Consider the following 21,778-nt stretch of genomic DNA (forward strand, 5'->3'; position numbering starts at 1 on the left):
TATGTTGAGGGTTGAGACTCCCTGCTCTCTTCTCTCCCACAGCACTGGCAGCCTGGTGTCTAGCTCCCAGGAAGGAGATTGGAACAGATTTCTCCAGATAACTTGACCAGCTTAAGAGGAAAGACCTAAAGATACTGATATTGAGGGTTTTCTAACTAGTCAACTCAGCCAGATCACCCTGTGTTGAAGCCCCATCCATGTGTCTCGGGCTTTAAATAAGCTTTTTCAGACCCACCTTTTATATGTGCAAACAGCCCAGTTTCACCAGCATCTGTGTAAAGCCTTTAAAGAATAATAGAGAACAAAACAAAAAGAACAAACAAACAATAACAAGAGAGAAAGAAATGAAAAACATTGGAGAAGAAATAGACAATGTAGGAAGAAGAAAACTAATATGGGTTCTAAAAACAAGGGATCCACCCAACTTAAGAAGGATGTAAAGGGAATCTAAAGGTGATGGTAAAGAGATCCCAGAAAGACAGCTGGTGAAGACGGCAGTAAAAAGTAACTTGTTCAGTCTGGAATAAGCCAGAAGGGTCTAGGAGAAAGCTCTTTATCTAAGAAAAAGGAATCAATAGAATATCTGATGTTTTCAAAGTATTGAGGAACTTAGACAATTAGCGAAGAGTTTGTGAATTAATTATATAATAAATACTCAGAAAACTAAGCAAAGGCAAAACAAGACAATAACTCCAGGAAAAGTAGAAAGTTGTGCTTGAAAGGCAAAGTAATCATAGTATATATTGCATGGCTCAACATATTCATGTATTTTTTTTTTTTTTTGAGACAGTCTTGCACTGTTGCCCAGGCTGGAGTGCAGTGGCCCGATCTCGGCTCACTGCAAGCTCTGCCTCCCAGGTTCATGCCATTCTCCTGCCTCAGCCTCCCGAGTAGCTGGGACTACAGGTGCCCGCCACCACGCCCGGCTAACTTTTTTGTATTTTTTAGTAGAGATGGGGTTTCACCATGTTAGCCAAAATGGTCTCGATCTCCTGACCTTGTGATCCACCTGCCTCGGCCTCCCCAAGTGCTGGGATTACAGGCGTGAAACACCGTGCCCAGCCCATATATTTCTTATATATTCATAACAATGTGAATGCTAAATAGTGACCAGAATTTCCATGACTCTAATGAAAGTATAAGGAATGGCAAAGGTCTATAAGGATGGTAAATAGGGGTGTGTATTTGTGTGTGCTGGGGATCTGTGTATGTATGTGTGAAAGAGGGCTAAATCTTCACTCTGCATAGCTGGAAGTCCATAAATCATATCTAAAACTGAAAAATCAAGAAACAGAAACACGTTTTCTGAAACTATAGAGGTTAATATAAAAATAAATCAGTTTGCTCTAGGAAGGGGAAAATGGGAGGGAAGGAAGGCAGAGGTCTTACTGAACGAAACTTATCAAACTACTTGACTGCTTAAACTATGTGCATGTACAATTCTGATTTTGAACCATTATGGAAAAAGGTATCACACAGAATACAGAACATGACATGGAAAATGACATTTTAAGGAAAAGCATTATAAAACTATTTGATGCAGTTTTTGTAAATAATAATTATATAGTTTTTTTTTCTAAATTTTAGAATTAAAAGTTATTTCATGCAATGGCTCTGAATTATTGATTTAAGGATGCTGACGTATTGGGTTTAATATATTTTTAAGTTCTTTATGGTAAGGTATGACTTTATAAGTGTTGGATATTGATGTTGCAAACTTCTAACCATCATATTACAAACAACAACAGAGAACTCACATGAAAGAGAATTTTAAGAAGTTACCCACCCAAGACAGATACTCACTGTTGCCCCATTTTTAATGGCCTCTTCATATAGCCCAATAACATCAAAGGTGCCTTTACTTGCCAACAACTTTGCTTTGCAGATCCAGAATTTAGCAAATTTTTCAGCTTCAGGAATGCTGGACAATATGTTAAGTATTTCATTAGAAGGTACACCCTGAAATAAACCAAAATATCCAGAGGTAATTATTACCATTTCACTGTTAGTCTCACATCTCCTAATATTTATTACAGCAGGTATGCAGAAATTGGTTTGATCACTAATATTTTTGAACTTTTAAAAAAATTTCAATTTTACTGAGGTACAATGTACATGTAATAAAATGCACCTGTTTTAATTATCCATTTTAATGATTTGAGATTAATAATAATTATTATTTTTTTTTTGAGATGGAGTCTTGCTCTGTCGTCCAGGCTGGAGTGCAATGGCGCGATCTCGGTTCACTGCAACCTCCACCTCCCAGGTTCAAGCAAGTCTCCTGCCTCAGCCTCCCCAGTAGCTGGGACTACAGGCACATGCCACCACATGCTCGGCTAATTTTTTGTATTTTTAGTAGAGATGGGGTTTCACCGTGTTAGCCAGGATGGTCTTGATCTCCTGACCTCGTGATCCGCCCACCTCAGCCTCTTAACGTGCTGGGATTACAGGCATGAGCCACCATGCCTGGCTTAATTTTTCTTTTTTTTTTTGAGACAAGGTCTTACTCTGTTGCCCAGGCTGGAGTGCAGTGGTACGATCACAACTCGCTGCAACCTCTACCTCCTGGGATCAAGCAATCCTCCCACCTTAGCCTCTCGAGTAGCTGAGACCACAGGCATGAGCCACTGAGCCTGGCTTCCTCATCATTAAATTTTAAGAGTTATATGAGACCAAATAGAAAATGTTTATCATAGCTGAAGGTAAGAAATATGTTCATTTTTACATGGTACAAAAACAAAACAAATCCTAGAGTAAACATTTACATATTCATAATATTCCATATTTATAATAACGAGAACACTGAGTAGTGATGAGAATTTCCATAGGACTAATAGCAGTGTAAAGAATGACACAGGCATGCGAAGGTCATAGGGGTGTATATGTGTAAGTGTCAGGGATTTATGCAGGTGTTTATGAAAGAGGGTTAAATCCCACAAAAAGATAATTTGAAATGGATTCACTGGTTTGGTTCCCTTCTGGCTTGTGCCGTAAGCAGGACAGTGACATGGACCCAACGAATGGGGAGCACTACCATGCCCAGAAATCCAGGTACTGGCACACTCAGCCAAGCAGCACCTTCTACTGCTAGAAATGGGGGAGACGCAAAGGTAAGTTCACAATTGAGAATCACTAACATTTGAGAAAACCAACACTACATGAAAGAGGCATAAAACTCAACAAACAAGAATGAACACTGGAGCAAAGAGGAATACTTTTAAGAGTATCACAGTCAATATCTTCAGAGTGATAAGAGAGAGTATTGCTATCCTAAAACTAGAATGGGCTGTTATGAAAAATAACCAACAGAAAGGCAGAACAACTGCATGGACAGCGCTGAAGAATACATCTGTGAGCTGAAAATTCAGCTGTGAAATCCTCCTAGAAACCAGTGTAATAAAACAATGAAGTGAACAGTATGAAAACAACATTTAGAGTTCTGAAGGATATATCCATTACTCAATAACTCCAATATCCATCTAAGAGAGTTTCTAGAAGGAAAAAAGTTCAACACACAAAGTGGTTGTAGAAGAAGAATTTCAAGAAATGAACAAAGAAACAGTTGTTCAGGTTGAAAAGGCTCTCAGATAGTTAAGCAGGATGAATGGGAGAAAAAAATATAATAGAAAACCAAAGATAAAAAGAAAATCGTACAAGCTTCCAGAGAGGGGGAAGAAAAGGATTACCTATAAAGGAATGAGAATCAGACTGACGTGAGACATTAACAAATCAACAACTCCAGATGCAAGAAAGAAAATGAAGCAGTCACTTAAATTTTTCCAGGGAAAACAAGCTGAAATTAAGAAATTTCCCCCAGCCAAACTATGATTCCAGCATGAAGGCAAATAACAAGTTTCACAAGAATACAGACTCAAAAGGTTTGCCATTCAAAAATCATAAAGTCACTAGTGAGTAAACTTTAGAATTCACATGAAAGACTTGAAATAAAAGTAACTGCAGGCCAGGTGCAGTGGGTGGTTCACACCTGTAATCCCAGCACTTTGGGAAGCTGAGGCAGAGGACTGCTTGAGGCTAGGAGTTTGAGACCAGCCTGGGCAACACAGTGAGACCCTGTGTCTACAAAAAAATGTAAACTATAATGGGTGTAGTGGTGTGTACCTGTAGTCCTAGCTACTCAGGAGGCTGAGGTGGAGGATCACTTGGGTCCACCCAGGAGGTTTAAAGTTGCAGTGAGCTATGATGGCATCACTGCACTCCAATCTAGGCAAAAGAGTGAAACCCTGTCTCTTAAAAAAAAAAAAAAAATGAAAAAAGGAACTGCAAGAAGAATATGATATATATTCTGCAAATCATGTTTGAGCTTACATCTATCACTTTATTTTCATTTCAGTGTATTATTTTATGAAATAAAACTAGATTAAACACAGAAATGAGGAAAAAATAATTCATGTAAGCTGAATTACAAAATAAAATAGCAGGCATAAGTTTAAACATACAAGTAATCATAATAAATGTGTACGAACTAAATTTGCTTTTTAAAAGCAGAGAGTTTCAAATTTGTTTAAAACATTTAACTGTGTGCATTTATATGAGACATACCTAAAATAAGTCAGCCCATGAAGGCTTAAAGTAAAGGGATGGAAAAAGAGCTACCAGAGCTACCAGACATATTCTAACAACAAAAAGCAGGTGTGGCAAGATTAATCAGACAAAAGAAATCAAAGCAAGTCATGAATCTTTCTGTACCTAACAACATAACTTTAAAAAATAGAAAGTAAAAATTGACAGACATATGAAGAGAAATTGTCAATGATTAATCACAGTGCCAGTGACAGACTTTGGCATATTTCTTTCAGAAAGCAATAGATCAAATAAACAAATAGGATATACATTATTTTCAAACACTTTTGGAACATTTACCAAGAATGATCAGATATTAAGGCCACAAAGAAAATTTCAACAAAATCCATCAAGTAGAGTACACATAGGCCACATTCACCAACTACAATGCAATATAATTAGAAATTAACAGCAGAAAAAAAAAATCTACACATCTGGAAATTAAAAGATACTTTTCTAAGATATTTTTTGGGTTAAAGAACTCAAAATGGGAATCTCAAGCTATTTAGAAATGAACAATGACAAGATATGTCAGTTATGAAGCTTTTGTCTATTGGCCCCAAACCCCATCCTCTGCTTTGTGATGCTGGGGATAAAACTCTGTAAAACTTTCTGCTGGGCAGCAGCTCCCTGCTCAGCTCTGCCAGCAGGGGGCACGAGAGGGAGGCTGCAGGGATGGAGAAGGAAGACACTTGCTTCTTCCTATTTGCTTTCATCACCCCAGCAACGGTCCCTCACCCTGGCAGTAACAGTTGGTTCTAGCATCTTTTTTTCCCCCTCAGAGCCCACCTCCCTGTGCAGCTTCAGAGCAGAAGCACCAAATGGATAGCATCTTTTCCTCAAAATCTGAGCCCCAGCCCTGCAGGGCCTCTCCTCCATCATCTGCTGGGTAGTATGCCTTCCTTACAGTTGGAGTCCCATTTCTACCAGGGTTTGTCTCTCCTGCTTCTTGGTTCTGATACCCTAACCTCTCTTTGTTCTCCTAGACCCAGTGGGTACAAGCTGCTTCCTACAGTTATCACATTACCTCAGGTTCCTGTGTGCTGTCAGCCCTGTGTGTAGCACCCACACTCCTTCTGATCCCTTCAGCATCTTGTGCACACAGGCTTACCGCGTGCTTTCACAGCCAGCATCTGTGCTCCCTCGTATGTGCCCAGAGAGTGAGAAGTGCCTGACAATTCTTGTCCGCCCGAGGCAGCCATGAATAAATGACCATGGAAGCTTTAACAATGTAGCTCCCTTGCCTCTGATCAGGATGACTCTGAGAGATGTGACCTACACTGTCTCCAGAGCTCCCCTGTGGGGCTGTGCCAGAGTCACCGTCCATGGATTCGCTTTTCTGATCCTACAACTTCACTCCCCTCCCAGTTTTCCCTGGAGTGTCTTCCTAATAAACTACTTTCACATGGATTCTCCTCTTAGGCTCCACCTCTAGAGAACCCACATAAGATACTGTGTAACCAATTACATTCTTTCTGTGGTTTGTTTTTCAGACTTGATCCTGACTGATAAAGAGTATTACTTAGTCAAATCTGAGGGATATGACCAAAGTAAAATTCAGAGGCAAATCTGCTATAGCACTGAACATATTTATAAAAAAAAAAAAAAGAAAGACTCACTTTTAAATGATCTAAGGTTTCAATTAAAAAGCTAGGAAAAGAGCAATAAATATAAAAATAGATGCAGACATTGATGCAAGAGAAAAAATAATCAATAAAACCTGAGGTCTTTTAAAAAGATTAATGAGAAAAAATCTTTGGCAATAAAACCTGAGATCTTTTAAAAAGATTGAGAAAAAATCCCTTTAAAAAGTCACAAAATTACTAAAGTTGACTCAAGATATATGAACTCTAGAACAATGACCCCATAACAAATTGAGAGGATATATACAAAATTATCCTCCAAAGAAACACGGTCCAGATGATTTTTATGGGCAAGTTTTTATCAAACCTTCAAAAAATAAAAATAATTCTCATGTCATACAAACTATTTTCAGTTTATAGGGCAAAAAGGAAAATACTCAACTCATCTGCCTAAGTCAGCATAACATTGGTACTAGGAAAACACAAGAAAAGACAACCAAAGTACACAAAAATGTGAATAAAAGAATTGCAACTCACAAAAATATAATACTTCATTTCTCGACATACCTATACTGTATGGACATGCATGAAAACAGAATGAATGACTGGCAATGGTGGTCACCTCCAGAGAGAAGTTTGGGATGCCTAAGTATGTATGTTTGTAGAGGGAGAGGGCTGATCATTTATCTGCATTACTTGAAATGATTTCAATAATAAAAAGGTACTCATTTTTAAATAATACAACAACAAAAAAAGAGGATAAGAAAAAGAACTCAAGTTCAATTCCACAAGGAGAAATAGTTAATATTTAACTGGATGTTGTGAAAATGTTGCCTGGAGTAGACTTAAACTGAACTTTTCCTTTTTTTTGCTGATGTTCAACATTACCAGCCAAAGGACTGAATGAGTTTTGCTCTAGGCAAGGATCTTAGAAGTTTATTCCATCATTTTTTATTAATATATTTTTCCTTCAGGAAAAATTTCTCCTAAGGATCATACTCTTTGCCTACCATCTATTTTATCCTTATCTGCAGAATCCAAGATAAAATTTAAATACTATTTGTAGCTACCCAGAGTATTCAGAATACTCCAACTTTACACAGAAACTTGCCTTCTGACCTCAGTTTCAATGTTAAATGTGTACTCTTCAGAACTTGATACCCAAAGAAAGCAAAGTTCCTTTTGGAGCCAGTTTGTTTGGATTAGTTTTCCAACTTCTTTGTGCCTCAGTTTTGTTTGTAAAGTGGTCATAGTAACAGTGGTTATGATAATTATGTGAGATAATCTTAGCTAAGTGCTTATAAAAGCACAGATACACAAAAGACACTGTTTATGGGCATGTCATTATTATTATTACTCTGTATTTACAAGAGTAGCTAAATTTCTACTTAGATGAAGGCTATCTCTCCTATATTATATTTAGGAATATGTTTAAAAATTATAAGACTTTGGGCCAAAGCTGGAGGAGCTTATCTTCTTCACTTACCCCTTCGATGAGGTTCAGACATTCTGTCAGAGTGTTGTTAATTTTACTGGACAGTTCGAGTTGTGCTTTCTTTTCTTCCTCTTCTTTTTCAATGCTCTTCCAGAATGAAATATTCATTTCCTTTATTACTTTTCTTTTTGTTTTAAGTTCCATAGGAGGCCGTTTATAGGTTTTTCCCTTAGATTTCTGCCATTCTTCTAGTTGTTTCCTGAAATTCAATTAAAGGGAGAGTGGTTTTATTTATTTTTAAACATAGTCAAGCTGCTAAAGTATATGATATGTATAGATAGAGTATAATTAAATACTTTCAACTACAGACAAAATCAGGAGAATGGAATTAAAAAACAATTTACAAATGGGTAATGGCAGCATTGGGTTGCGCCCACCCACGAGAAGGCAGACACCAAGATTCTAAGATCACACGTGGCCAGCACTTCAGACTTCAAATAGAATTCGTGATTATGCATTATTTTTCTCGGAAAGTTTTCACTTCACTATATGCTACTTGACACTTGCTTTCCTAAGACATCCCTCTATTTTTGAGATGACTAACTCAGCAATTCATTTCTCTCACGCATAAGCTGTCACTCAACCCAAACCCACCAAGCCTGCATTCTACCCTCAATAAGGTCTTGGTGTGTAAACTGACCCACTTCACCTAGTTCCTTAGCCCTCTCTTGACCAGACATGACTCTTTCATAAGCTAGACCTATAAAGTCAGGGCTCTTAAGTAGCTGATCTCTGATAGTGCCAAGTGTCCCCCACTGTTCACATTTTCCACTCCAGCTTCTAACAGGTGATAGACTGCTTTTTGGGGGTAGGGGCACCAAGACATATAGACCTCATGTTTGGATGTAGACACTCCAGTTTCTTTAAATTACAACTACATATTAATAATGACTTCCAAGTGTACATTTCAGTCCAGATCTCTCCCTGGATCCCCAAACTTTGTAAAACCCACCGCCTAGTTGATATCTTTTGATGTCTGACAGGCATTTCAAATTTAATACTGTCACAAACAAAGTTATTGATTTTCATCTCTGCATCTGTTACAAATTTTTCTTACTTTGGTAAATAGCACCCCAGGCTGTGTCACTGCCAAGAACTTTCCACAGCTCTTGGAATAAAATTCAAAATATTTTCCAAGGCAGAAAGGCACAGTGTAATCTGGCTCCTGCCTACCTCTCCAACCTCGTATCACACTAGTCTCCCTGTCACTCACCCCCTCCAGGAGCTCAGGTATCCTTAAAGTTTCTTTTCTTTTTTTTTTTTTTTTTTTTTGAGACAGTTTTGCTCTGTTGCCCAGGCTGGAGTGAAGTGGCATGATCTCAGGTCACTGCAACCTCCGCCTCCTGGGTTCAAGTGATTCTTGTGCCTCAGCCTCCCAAGTAGCTGCAATTACAGGCGCGTGCCACCACACCCGGCTAATTTTTGTATTTTTAGTAGAGATGGGGTTTCACAATGTTGGCTAAACCGGTCTCAAACTCCTGACCTCAAGTGATCTGACCACTTCAGCCTCCCAAGGTGCTGGGATTACAGGCGTGAACCATTGTACCCTGCCTCCTTGAAGTTTCTTGATCCAGACTCATTCCTGCCTTAAGGTCTTGCATCTTCAGTCCTCCCCTCAAATGACACCTCCATGAAGACGCAATTACCTGTAATTACCGTGTCTTATTTAGTCAATGTGTTGGTTTTCTGTCTCCTCCACTAGAGTGTAAGCTCTATGAAGGCAGAAACCTTGGCAGTCCAGTTCCCAGCACAGTGCCTAGCACACATAGGTATTTAATAACACACAGTAAAATTCACCTTTTAGTGTGCAATTCTGAGTTTTGACAAATGCATCAAGTCATTTAAGTCTGACTATTATCAAGCTATAAGATGGTTGCAACACTATCACTAATTCCCTCATGCTCCTTGGTAGTCAGTCTCACCCCTAACGCCCCCCTCCTGGCAATCACTGATCCGTTTTTTGTCTTTATAGTTTTGGTTTTTCCAGAATGCCAATAACTAAGTTTTGAATGAATGAATGCTATTAACTCTCATTTCTGACTCCAGAGCAACATCCATGCAATATTTATTATTTCAGCCCCAAATACTGCCCCCTCACCTTCACTCCAACCACCTACTTGATGATACAAGGTGAGACATTTGGCATGTGCTTCCTCCATGTTCCTAGCATTTTCCCTATCTCCTTAGCCTTCCTTCTAATCATAAACGAAGAGTGAACTTTCCCTTTCTAAAGGCAACTTACTCCTAGGACCTCGATGCCATAATTTTGTTTCTCTAGTACTTTCTATATATACACCAAACAATTAGCTCCAGAAAGGTAAAGACTCACTGTGTGCTCATCACTGTGTCTCCTAGCGCCTGGCACACTGCAGGTGCTGAAGAAACACCTACAGAATGAGTGAATGAATCTCTCCCTCTCTAGACTCCTTCTCTTTTGTAATCAAACATGTTCAACCTGCAACACAGTCTTATGACCAATCCTCTGTTGTCTGACCTAGGCTGAGCTCCAGGGCTGGGACCCTGACTTCCTTATTCACCACCTCAAGGTCTCTGCACTCACTTCTCTTTCTGCTCAGGATTGTTTTTCTTCTTGTCACCAGTCTTTTCTCAGACTTAGGTCTCAGCTCAGACATTGCTGTTGAAAGTACTTCTACTGATCCTTTTATCTAAAGCAGCCATTCCAGCCCTACTCTCTTGATCATAGCACCCTGAATTAAGTTGTTTACTTACTGTCTCTTCAGGAGGGCAAGGAGCTTGGTGGTGGTGTTCAGGGCTGTACCAAGCTGTACCTTGCTTCACCCTGCTACACTTTTTAGCAACCATCTAATTTTACATGCTCCCTTCACTCGTCAGAAATTTCCTTATTTTCTACTTCAAGCAGGTATACATATGTGCTTCTCCTGGGAGGCTCACCCACTTCATGAGACTACATTTGGTCCTGGGTAGAAAGTGTACAAAATCCACTGGCTCAGTTTTAATCAATGTATGTTAATATTAACCAACCTGAGATCTTGATTTCCACGCCTGGCTAATTTTGTATTTTTAGTAAAAACAGGGTTTCTCCATGTTGGTCAGGCTGGTCTCGAACTCCCGACCTCAGGTGATCCGCTCACCTCGGCCTCCCAAAGTGCTGGGACTACAGGCATGAGCCAGCGTGCCCGGCCTAAGATCTTGATTTCTACCATCTGAACTCTGTATTTGAACTGACTGCTCCTGCTTGAGCTTACTGGCCAAAACTTGGCCCACTCAGACTCACGGAAGTTTCTGGTTCTTCCCTGGTAACTTTTCTGAACTTAACCACTGGTTTGCTTGACAAGAGATTACCATCTTCTCACTTCCTAGCTATGTGAACTCACTTATCTGCTCTATTGCTGTTCAGTCTAGCACGGCACTTATTGAACGAGTGTCTACATCTGCACCCCCTACTTCTTACTCATCCATTCTGTTTCAATTTCTTAAAAAGAAAAAAAAAAAGCTATTGTAAACATACGATTACAGAAAATGATTTATAACATGTGTATGTACCACCTAGCCCTGTCAAGTCTTAATATTTGTTATATTTGCTTCAAATCTTTTTTCAGACTGTAGTTAAAAATTACTTAGGAGCCATTATTTATGGCCTATTTCCTGACCTAGTCTTCTTGATGGTCAATTTGCCTAATCATCTTAAGTTGCAAAAGCTTAGAATTAAAGCAAAGTACCTTCGATCCTCTGCTGTTGCCTTCTTTTTAATATTTGGGTTTGTTTGGGTCCCATTTACGGTTGTGACATCAGCTTGAGTTTTGGGAGCTGTCTTGTTCAGAAAATGGTTCTGGGGAACAGCCTTTTTCAACTTGGAGTCCAAAGTCTGTGCTTTTTGCTGAAAGCCATTATTGTTATGTTTATTACCACTGGTTCCATTTGGTCTTATGCTAGGGGTGCTTGGAATGGCTGAATTAAATCTGCCAACTGTCAAATTAGGCCTCTGGCTTATGGCTTTTGACTTTTGCAGTACACATGATGTCTGAGGTATACAAACTTGGCTGGACTTCTGATCTTGCTTGATGTTTGGATGTCTGTTGTTATATTCACCCTGAAGCAAACTGGGGTATGTTCTGGGTTTGGTGTGCTTCACTCTCTGTTCAGTAACAGGGTATGACCGTATCTTAGTTTCATTTGGTCTTTCATATTGACTCCTATTAACCTTTATATCTTTGATGTTCTTGACTACTGGTTTCTTTGATGACTGAACTTTACTAAGGGTCCGAATAAAGTGAGAGGGAACCGTCCTTGAGGGTTTTACTCCTGGTCTTGCAAGATCTGCTCCTCTAGAGAGTTGCTGTGATTTTACTGGGAAAGTCCTGCTTTGTGTTTCTCCAACAAATTGTTTATTAACCCTATCTTTCAGAACAGCACTATTAACTGAACTTTTGCCCAAGGCTTGTTTAGGAACTAAACTGTTCTTGGTTTGATTATAAGAGTCAGTCTTTGGCTTACTTCTGGTATATAATTTAGGATCTGGCTTCCTCTCAGGTTCTGTTAAGATATCGAGCAAGTTCTCTTTGTTTGTTTCTTTTAGAAAGTTATCCAAAGATTCGTTTTCAACATGGATATTATTCATAAAGTCTATACATTTACCATTTCCTTGATCTGTTAACTGCTGCTTTGTAGTTTTCAATTGCTCTATATTAAGTGACCCCACAGGTTTTCTTGACAGTTCTCCTGTTGTGGACGATCCAGCTTCACACTGTTGAAAACTCTTGCTAGAAGGCTTAGAGTATGGGTTAGAAGAAACACATTCTGAAGTCAGCCTTTTGCCCAGAAGTTTTGGTGGCTCCAACTTCGGCTTCTGGGACCCTGCAGTATTAGGTGGTCTGGGCTGGAGTTTAATGCTGATGGACCTTTTAGGTTTGACAGGCAAAACAACATGGTTGGTAACATCATTTTTGGGTCTAATAGTCTGAAAAAACAAAGAAAATACATATTAAAAAATCCTTAACATATCTTATTGTTTTTAAAATAATAACTGTGTTTAACACATGCTAAAAAAAATAATCATTTTTAGAATTTCATCTAAGAAAGTTGAATCCTCAGAAAGTAAAGAAAGACTCACTAATAGGTAGTTTTTGTGTTTTTTTTTTTTTTTTTTTTTTGAGACAGGATCTTGCTCTGTCACCCAGTCTGGTGTGCAGTGATGCAATCTTGGCTCATTGCAACCTCTGCCTCCTGGGTTGAAGCAATTCTCCCACCCCAACCTCGCAAGTGGCTGGACTACAGGCGCATGTCACTACACCTGGCTACTTTTTTGTATTTTTAGTAAAGTTGGGGTTTCACCATATTGGCCAGGTTGGTCTTGAAGTCCTGACCTCCAGTGATCCACGCACCTTGGCCTCCCAAAGTGCTGGGATAACAGGTATGAGCCACCACACCTGTCCTAACAGGTAGTTTTTACAACTTGAGTTCCTATCAGAAGTATATTAGAATCTTTTAGCTTGACAGAATTAAGCAGAGATGCAGTGAATATACAAAACTTGCTCTTTCAAAAATGAATTTGCCTCAAACAGTAGTTGTTGAATGCCTATTATATCCTAAGTGCCCTCCAAAGAACCCTGAAAAAATACATACATAATGAACTTATGTTAGGGTACCTCCCAACAAATCTCTCCTAGTACTTTGTATAGCCACACTATATGTTTTTTAAACCACTGCCTTTGTAAACATCACAGTATCACTCAAGAACCTCTGTCTCATCCCTGGAGATCAGTGACAAGGAGATAGGTGGCAGATGATGTGAGGCCTGAGATATGCTGCCACAGCTCTCAATAAACATGTAACATCTTAATAGTCATATTTGTAAAATCAGCCAGGACAGGGTTTTAAGGTTAGAGTCTATGTTAATAATAAACAAATGTTTAGTCATGTGATTTAAGTTTGGATAAGAAAGGTAGGACTCGATTACAGAGAATTTTGAAAACTAGGGAAGGGAGTTTAGAATTCATATGGTAAGTAATTGGGCAAGCCACTATGAATTCCTGAGCATCTCTCATGAAAGCAATTACTCAGAAAGGAGAATTTCACAGAGATTTATGGAATATGTTTCCAGGGTAAGATATGGGAATGCTAGAGTTACCACTCTATTTTTGATTTGACAAATATTGTGAAGAATCACTACATAAACTTGGCGAGTATGTAAAGGATTTCTAACCAGAACCATTTGGCATTGAGGGCAAAGAGATGTCTACTCTGGATGATAGCGGTGTGTGTGGTGTTACTAGGAGTGAAACAGCGGAGTTGGGAGTGGGAGGCAGAGAGATGGATGGTATACCCACAATGGCTATATCTGGATTAATCTTTGAGCACCAACATTTATATACACCTCGGATCTCTCCATCATTGCTTACTGAAGAGGTGGAGGGACGTTGGCATGAAAGCTTCCAAATGTGTTTTTTTAGTTGCTTTCTTATATATTAAAAACAAATTGATATAATCCACAAACCATAAAATTCACCATTTTAGTAAGTGCACACTTCTGTGGATTTTAGTATAGCCACACTATTATACAGCAATCACCACTGTCTAATTCCAGAACATATTCATCACCCTAGAAAGAAACTTGGTTTACTTGTTGGCAGTCACTCCCCATTTTCTGCTCCCTGCAGTTCTTGGCAACCGCTAGTCTACTTTCTGTCTCTGTATGTCTATAGATGTGCCTATTTTAGATGTGTCATATAAATGGAATCATGTAATATGTGGCCTTTTCTGTCTGGCTTCTTTCACTTAGCATAACGTTTTCAAGATTTACCCATGTTGTAGCATGTATCAGTACTTCATTACTTTTTAAAATTAACTTTTTTAGAGCAGGTTTAGATTCACAGCAAAATTAATAATAGTAAAAGTATCTATTATCTAGGAAGGATGCCATATATCCCGGTTTTCACAAGATAGTTTTGATTTATGCCTGTTGGTCAAAGAGTACTGCTTTTTACTCTCAAAGTGTCCTGGTTTGGACATTAAAGCATATGGCCAACTTCCTCACATGGTTGTTCTGAGTGAGGTAATGTATATAAACATGTCTGGGTGTTAGTTATTGTTGTCATGTATCGAAAGTGTTATATAAATTGTCAAGCATTATATAACTGTAATGATGACTATTATTTACATCGTGCTTTTAGTTTCTCCTAAATTCTGTAATTCCCTTCCTGAGTTCACTTTTTACTTTTACAACTGTGTAAAGCAGATAAGGTAGGTATCATCCTCATTTACGAGCTGATGTACTGAAGTCAGTATTGTCAACTTCCAGAGAAGCCTCTGGGAAGTCTGAATGAGGGCCCTTTCCAGTAGATTTTTCCTTAAGACTTGCATACTATACTGGTTCAATCTGCATAAAGTAAAAGTGTAACCCAGTGCTTCCCAAACGTTAAACCATTGTTCATAAATTTTGCCTTATATACATTTTGCTATCCTTCACAGTGTCTAATGATGTCATGTATACATACAACATATATATGTCTACATATGCATATGCATATGACTGAAATATGACTGAAGTGATTTGGTGAATCATTAAAACTTATTAAAATTCTCACCAGTGAGAATTTTTCACTTCAGGAAGCACTATTTTAGTTACATTTCAGAACACAGATAAAAACTTATATGTCTATATATGCATATGCATATGACTGAAATATGACTGAAGTGATTTGGTGAATCATTAAAACTTATTAAAATTCTCACCAGTGAGAATTTTTCACTTCAGGAAGCACTGTTTTAGTTACATTTCAGAACACAGATAAAAACTATGTTTTAAAAAACTAAAGGTGAGATTTTTATTGCAGATGAATAATCTGTGCCTCTTTCAGAGGGCTAATTTCTTCCATTTAAACTTTAAGTTAAGGATCCTTTACCATTCTATCTAATGTAGCTAAATTAAATTGATTAGGAAGCATATACTTGTTAAGTGGCTTGGAAGGTTCAATGCAAATGTTCTCTTTTAATGACTACTGAGCTATTTAACTTCATGGCAGCATACCAAAGTGGTTAAGATCACAGGCTCTCAGCTTTGTCACTTAATAGCTATACGACCTATTTAACCTTTCTGTGACTTAGTTTGCTTATCTGTAAAGTGGGGCTACTAATAGTAGCCTCATAAGATTGTGAGGACTCAGTGAGGTAATGCAAGTCAGAAAAGTATCAGGCACACAGTAAGCATTCAATAAATGTTAGCTATCAAGAGGACTAAAGTTCACTTGAGGCTTTTCTTGGTTAATAAAACTAAACTACTTTTCAAAAAATGTCATACTTTTCAAAAAATGATTGTCTCTTATTAAACCAAACTGTTTTTATATCTGTAAGAAATACCTTTCAAATACATGTTCTTTAGGTTGCTAACATCTTTATTATTTTTATTACTAATCATACTTATGAATGCATATTTTTAAAAAGACTAATTTCTACTTACAGATTTAGAAGGTGGTTGATTCTGGCAATTATTCTTGGATTTTAGATAAGGCCTATAAAAGACAAATTAAAATTAATCCTCAGCACAGAAGGATTCTAAGCTAAGCTTGGGAAGTACAGTGATTAAAAATTATGAATAGAATTTTAAATAATTAGAATTTCTGTAATGGCAAAATAATTCAAAATTATATTTAATAAAGTCTCCTTATCATCATTTCTTTAGTTCTGTATCCTCCCCCTTGGAGACCACCAACTGCTCCTACTCTTTTTTTTTTTGCCTTGTGATCCTTACAGAGACTGTCTATACATAAATCTAGCATTCTCACAATATTAATGAGATATATGTGTTTCCTTCATATTTATATAGTCTTACTCATTCACACATCATTCCTGGAGCACTGCAATGTGCCAGACACCGAAGACACAATGCCAAATAAAACCATTAACTGCTTCTTTAAAAAATTTCCGGCTGGGCGTAGTGGCTCACGCCTGTAATCCCAGCACTTTGGGAGGCCAAGGCAGGCGGATCATGAGATCAGGAAATAGAGACCATCCTGGCTAACACAGTGAAACCCCATCGCTACTAAAAATACAAAAAAATTAGCTGGGCATGGTGGCACATGCCTGTTGTCCCAGCTACTCGGGAGGCTGAGGCAGGAAAATGGCGTGAAACTGGGAGGCAGAGCTTGCAGTGAGCCAAGATTGCGCCACTGCACTCCAGCCTGGGCAACAGAGTGAGACTCCGTCTCAAAAAAAAAAAAAAAAAAAAAAAAAATTTCCTTGTTTTCAGTATCTTCAAATACTATCTCTTCTAACTTTAAGGGGGTAAAGAAATATTAAAAAAAAAAAAACCAAGACACACATGAAATATAGCTAGTGAGACAGGAAATGCAGAAAAAGGATTGGAAAACAGAGGTGAATTTAGAAGGAATCAATCTGCATGGACCAAAAACAATTGCTAGACTAACAAGGACTTTGATTATGACTTGTTTGATGTTTGTCTCTCCCATCTACAGCATAAGCCCTGGGAGGGCAGGAATGTCTGTCTTGTTAAGCGCCATTATCTCTAGCATCAGAAGTGACTGAGATGTTATAGGTACTAAATAAATATTTGTTGAATAAGTGAATTAGGTTCATTTAATCAAGGAAATAGAGGTGAGTAAACACCCAAGATAAAATAAAGGGTGAAAGCTAACTTTGTAAAAATTAATTTTCAAATAAATACTTAGCAACTCAAATGGGGAAAAAATTAATTAATGCTAAGAAAGGACAAATAACACGACAAAGATGGTAAGAATCTACAAAGGATAAAAATGAAGTGGACATGTTCTGTCTACCTTAACAGTAAATGCTAAGAGAATGACCCAAGAGCAGAGGGTATCACTCTGCTACGGAGGATTGATTGTAACTGGCTCTCCTGCCTTAGCAAGAAATGCCAGAACCATGGTCATTCAAGTTCTTGACCAAAAACTGCCTTCATGAGAATCAACTTCCCCAAGAAAAAAAAAGCAGAAACAGGCAAAGCTTCCAGCATGGTAGGTAATACTGACCCTTCTTCCCTCCTTCCTTTGGAGATTCACACAGTAATAATGCATAAAGCTTTGCCAATGGACTAAGCACTGCCCAGGGGTTTTTGTCATGCCTGGACTGAAATGCTCTTTTTGCGTTATCATAGAATCCCAGTGCAGTCTGAGTAGACTCTAAGCAAAAGGGACATTTTTCAAAAAGGCTTTAAATTGCTAGTACAAAGAAGGCAACAAAACTTGCGTAACTGTGGACAGATAAACTCACTTGGTGTTTTGGCTCTTCAGTTTTCCCTTGGCTGCAAGGTACTCCTGAAGCTTTCTCTGCCGCTCTTCTGCAACACAGGCAAGCAAACAAACGACATAACTTTAGTTCAAGATTTTAACCAGTTCATTAATATTCTAAAAGATGACACTTTTCTCTAGTGATTTTGCCTTTGCAACATAATGTTATAAAATCCCTAGTCCTATAAATGTGCCTTCAAGCTAACATCAACATCAACAATATCATTTATATGCCAGGCCTACACTAAGTTCTTTAAACTTACTACTTTTTTTTTTTTTTTTGAGACAGGGTCTTCCTCTGTCACTGAGGTTGGAGGGCAGTGGCACAACCACGGCTCACTGTTGACTTGATCTCCCAGGTTCTAGCAATCCTCACACCTCAGTCTCCTGAGTAGCTGGGAATACAGGCGTGTACCACCATGCTGGATAATTTTAAAAAAATTTTTTGTAGAGACAGGATCTCACTATGTTGCCAGGGGTGGTCTCAAATTCCTGAGCTCAAGTGACCCTCCTGCTTTGGCCTCCCAAAGTGCTAGGATTACAGGCGTAAGTCAAAGCACTCGGCCTAAATTTACATTATTGCTTTCAATCCACAAAACAATCCAATGAGTTTTTGCAATCTGAAATTCAGAGAGAGTAAATGTCATGCCCAAAGTTACCCAGCTAATATGTGGCAATTCCAGGACTTGAAAACAGGCTTTTCTAACCCTGGAGCTCACAGCCACTGTTCTCAGCTACAACAGTCTGTTTTGAAGAATTTCTGTTACTGGCCCACCTGAGCTGGTGAGCCAGGCCTGGTCTTACGTCTTTTGTTTTTTTACAGGGATGATGATTTTTACCCACAAACCCTTATATGGCTTCCTTTGTTGGTACTAAGGATAAAATACGCCCGGTCTGCTCACGGCAGACACCTATACTATGGTGACTTTCTACGCAAGCCATTTGTGAGGGGATGACAAGTCAATAATTTCTGCCTTCAAGAACTTTCAAACTAGTAGTGGAGATAAAATCAACACAGCAACAATTACAGTATAAGGTAAAATCTAAGGGCCATAAGAGACGAAAAGAAGTATGGGAGTTCAGAGGTAGGGCATAAATGAGGGGAGTAGGTGGCTAGAAAAGGTTAAAAGTAAATAATGATGTGAAGGAAGACAAAAAGACGACAGGGGTGCCAAACGACTCTTAACCTCATCTGAACGGAGTTGCCCTGTTTTGCTCTCTGATGCTCATGTATCTATCCTTAGAGACAGCTTGGCGGGCAATGTAGAGCGTAGGGGCTGACATAGGGGGTTGGAGTCCCACCTCCGTGACTTCTAGCAAATTAGCAAACTTTGCTGCTGCTAAGCCTATAAGGCGGACAGAAATGCCATCTTTAAAGCTTGTTATGTAAAGTGCCTAGGACCTCGTAGGCATCAACAGGAATAATGGATGAAACAAAACAACGGTGCGTATCTTGGAGAAAGTGGCATCTGAGCAGGAGTATTTTGAAAGGTAGGAAAGGGCTCCAAGCACATCTAAGAGATTAGGGAACGCAGAAGCCTTAGCCCTGGGTGCAGATTTAACCAATCAACTTCTAACCACCGCAGGCTGAGAGGTGTGGAGTGAGAGCCCCGCCAGAGGCAGGAGACCCGGGCTTCGGCCAGACCCCGCCTCCTGGCACAGAGGACCACGCCCGGCTCTGCCTGGAGCCAAATGTGGATCAAAACAGCGCGCAGCTTCCCACTGCTGGTGAAAACCCGAGCAAGGGGCCTCAGTTTCTTTATCCGGAACGTGGTGACAATGACATCTCTTTGCAAGGCTGCTGCAGGGCTTTCTGGAAATACGCCCGTGAGGTATCTGGGCCTGCGCACAGCCTCCCCCGCCCAGGACCCAGACGTCTACCTGGGGGTCCCGTCTGCGCTCCCGGGATGGAAAACGCCCAGGGGAAACTTAGGCAGGCGAGCGGACGGGCACCTCCCGCGGGACGAACTCACTCGGTGGCCTCCTACTTCCCCGGCCGTGTTCCAACGCCTGAGAATAACGGGAACAGCGGTCGTACTCACCGACAGCGGCAGCAGCGGTAGGCCCGGGCCCCACCATGACTCTTCAGTGACAGTTTTTCTTCAAACGCCGCGCCTGTAGCCAGGACCGGCGTGCCGCGCGTCCACGCGTCCTCATTGGCTCCTGCGGGTTTGAAACTCGCTAGTCGTCAGCACGGGAGGGCGGGACAACAGGCAATAGGCTCTTTGCGGTTGGCTCTGGCCTTGAGAACCCGACCTTGGGGCCCTTTGATTGGAAGAACGTGCAGCGCACCTCGGCATTGAGGGCGGCTTCCTCGGGGCGCGGCGCCGCCCGCCTCTGAGTGCGCCTGTGAGTGCGCCTCCGAGTGGGCGTGGGACCCTCCGTGGGGGCCTCAGCCGGGCTGGTGGTTGGGGGGCGGTTACGCTGAATCCAGCTGGGGTTGGCGCGCCGGGAGTCCCTGGGCGGAGAGACAGGGCGGTCCTCCCAGGATGCTGGGGCCGCTACCTGATTCTGTCCTTTCAAAGTCTCAGACTCACAGGAGCTGTGAAAAAATAATATTATAAAGAGGACATATGGGTCTTATGCATCTAAAGGCTCCTAGTTCTTAGTACTGCAGGGTGGCTCGTTTAATTGTGGTAAAATATGCATAACATCACATATACCATTTTAACCATTTTAAAGTGTTAAATTTTTCAAAAATGTGCAGTTTAGTGGTATTAAGTACCCTCACATTGTGGCACAGCCACCACTACTGTCCTTTCCAGAACTTTTTCATCTTCCCAAATGAAACCCTGTACCCGTCACTAACTCCGCACTCCTCCCTCCCCCAGCCCCAGGCAATCACCATTCTAGTTTCTGTCTCTATGGATTTGACAACTGTAGGTGCCATATAAGTAGAATCATGCAGTATTTGTTCTGTGACTGGCTTGTTTCACTTAGCATAAAGTATTCAAGGTTCATCCATGTGTAGCATGTGTCAGAATTTCCTTTCCTTTTAAGGGGGAATAGCATTTCGTTGTGTGGAGATGCCACATTTTGCTTCTTGGTCCATCCCTCTCCGGACACTTGAGTTGCTTCCACTTTTTGGCTATTGTGAATAATAATATGAACATGAATGCACAAATAACTCTTTGAGACTCTCCTTTTCATTCTTTTGGGTATATACCACGAAGTGGTATTGTTGGATCAAACGGCAATTCTATTTTTAATTTTTTGAGAAACTGCCTTACTCCTCTCACGGTGATCTCTTGTTCAAGGTATATTTTCGATTTCACCTGATCAGCTGACTATAAGGCCATAAGGCTAACGGAGAAACGCAGGCCTAGTTTCTCCTAGTTACTAGGAGATCGCAGGCCTCGTTGTCCTGAATCCCTAGACACACTTCATTCCCCTTGTTTTAATCCTAAATTTTTTTTCTTTTGAAGTTTGTCCTGTTTCATCTATTCTCCAGTTTCTTAAAGAGGTCTGGAAAATGCTTTTGGCTCCTTGTGTATGAAGGTTCCTCTTCCATGGATGCTGGAGAAGTCGTGTGTGGAGGGGCAGTCATATCTGGGCACCTGTTGGCCAGGTTCAGCTTACCAGTTGGGTACTCAGCAGGGCATGAAGCCACTGCAGCAGCCCTTCTCTTTAGCCGTAAATAGGGAGTTTGGAAGAGAGCCAGGGTTTCTGGATTTATGCATTTTGATATTTTCAATAGTGTATTAAATGTTTAAAATAGGAAAACTGATCATTATTTTTGTTAATGACTGAGAAAGGGACTCCTTCACCAACAGTTTCAGAAAAGTGAAGGCGGTTTTGTTTTGGTCTTTGTAGAATCTAGGTGGTTGAATGCATGTCAGTTGTAGAAGTCACCTTGCCTGATATCCCACGCAGTG

General features: G+C 40.0%; 1 protein-coding gene across 4 annotated transcripts in view, besides 3 other annotated features; it reads right to left on the minus strand.

The window, feature by feature from the left end:
• The window catches only part of CKAP2L (cytoskeleton associated protein 2 like), a 28,261-nt gene extending 8,268 nt beyond the window's left edge, over nucleotides 1–19,993 (minus strand). The window contains exons 1-7 of one of the 4 annotated variants that reach the window (NR_130712.2): nucleotides 19,946–19,993; nucleotides 17,887–17,953; nucleotides 16,097–16,148; nucleotides 12,277–12,598; nucleotides 11,361–11,518; nucleotides 7,651–7,858; nucleotides 1,804–1,959 (exon numbers count right to left, since the gene is read on the minus strand). Coding sequence is in view for 3 of the 4 variants with exons in the window: in NM_152515.5 (NP_689728.3) it covers nucleotides 1,804–1,959; nucleotides 7,651–7,858; nucleotides 11,361–12,598; nucleotides 16,097–16,148; nucleotides 17,887–17,953; nucleotides 19,946–19,982 (1,758 nt within the window). In the remaining variant the exon portion in view is untranslated. Of the gene's footprint in view, nucleotides 1–1,803; nucleotides 1,960–7,650; nucleotides 7,859–11,360; nucleotides 12,599–16,096; nucleotides 16,149–17,886; nucleotides 17,954–19,945 lie in introns of all 4 variants that reach the window. The other 3 variants (NM_001304361.2, NM_152515.5, XM_011510666.3) reach the window with 3 other exon arrangements.
• Nucleotides 5,389–5,438: an enhancer, noted in NCBI's record as "active region_16398". NCBI's record gives its function as "activates an Ori minimal core promoter by ATAC-STARR-seq in GM12878 lymphoblastoid cells {active_cell/tissue: GM12878}" and the evidence as "EXISTENCE:reporter gene assay evidence [ECO:0000049][PMID:35858748]".
• Nucleotides 19,623–19,762: an enhancer, noted in NCBI's record as "active region_16399". NCBI's record gives its function as "activates an Ori minimal core promoter by ATAC-STARR-seq in GM12878 lymphoblastoid cells {active_cell/tissue: GM12878}" and the evidence as "EXISTENCE:reporter gene assay evidence [ECO:0000049][PMID:35858748]".
• Nucleotides 20,213–20,372: a silencer, noted in NCBI's record as "silent region_11876". NCBI's record gives its function as "represses an Ori minimal core promoter by ATAC-STARR-seq in GM12878 lymphoblastoid cells {active_cell/tissue: GM12878}" and the evidence as "EXISTENCE:reporter gene assay evidence [ECO:0000049][PMID:35858748]".

The sequence above is a fragment of the Homo sapiens genome, chromosome 2 (assembly GCF_000001405.40).
Source record: "Homo sapiens chromosome 2, GRCh38.p14 Primary Assembly".
Taxonomy (NCBI): domain Eukaryota; kingdom Metazoa; phylum Chordata; class Mammalia; order Primates; family Hominidae; genus Homo; species Homo sapiens.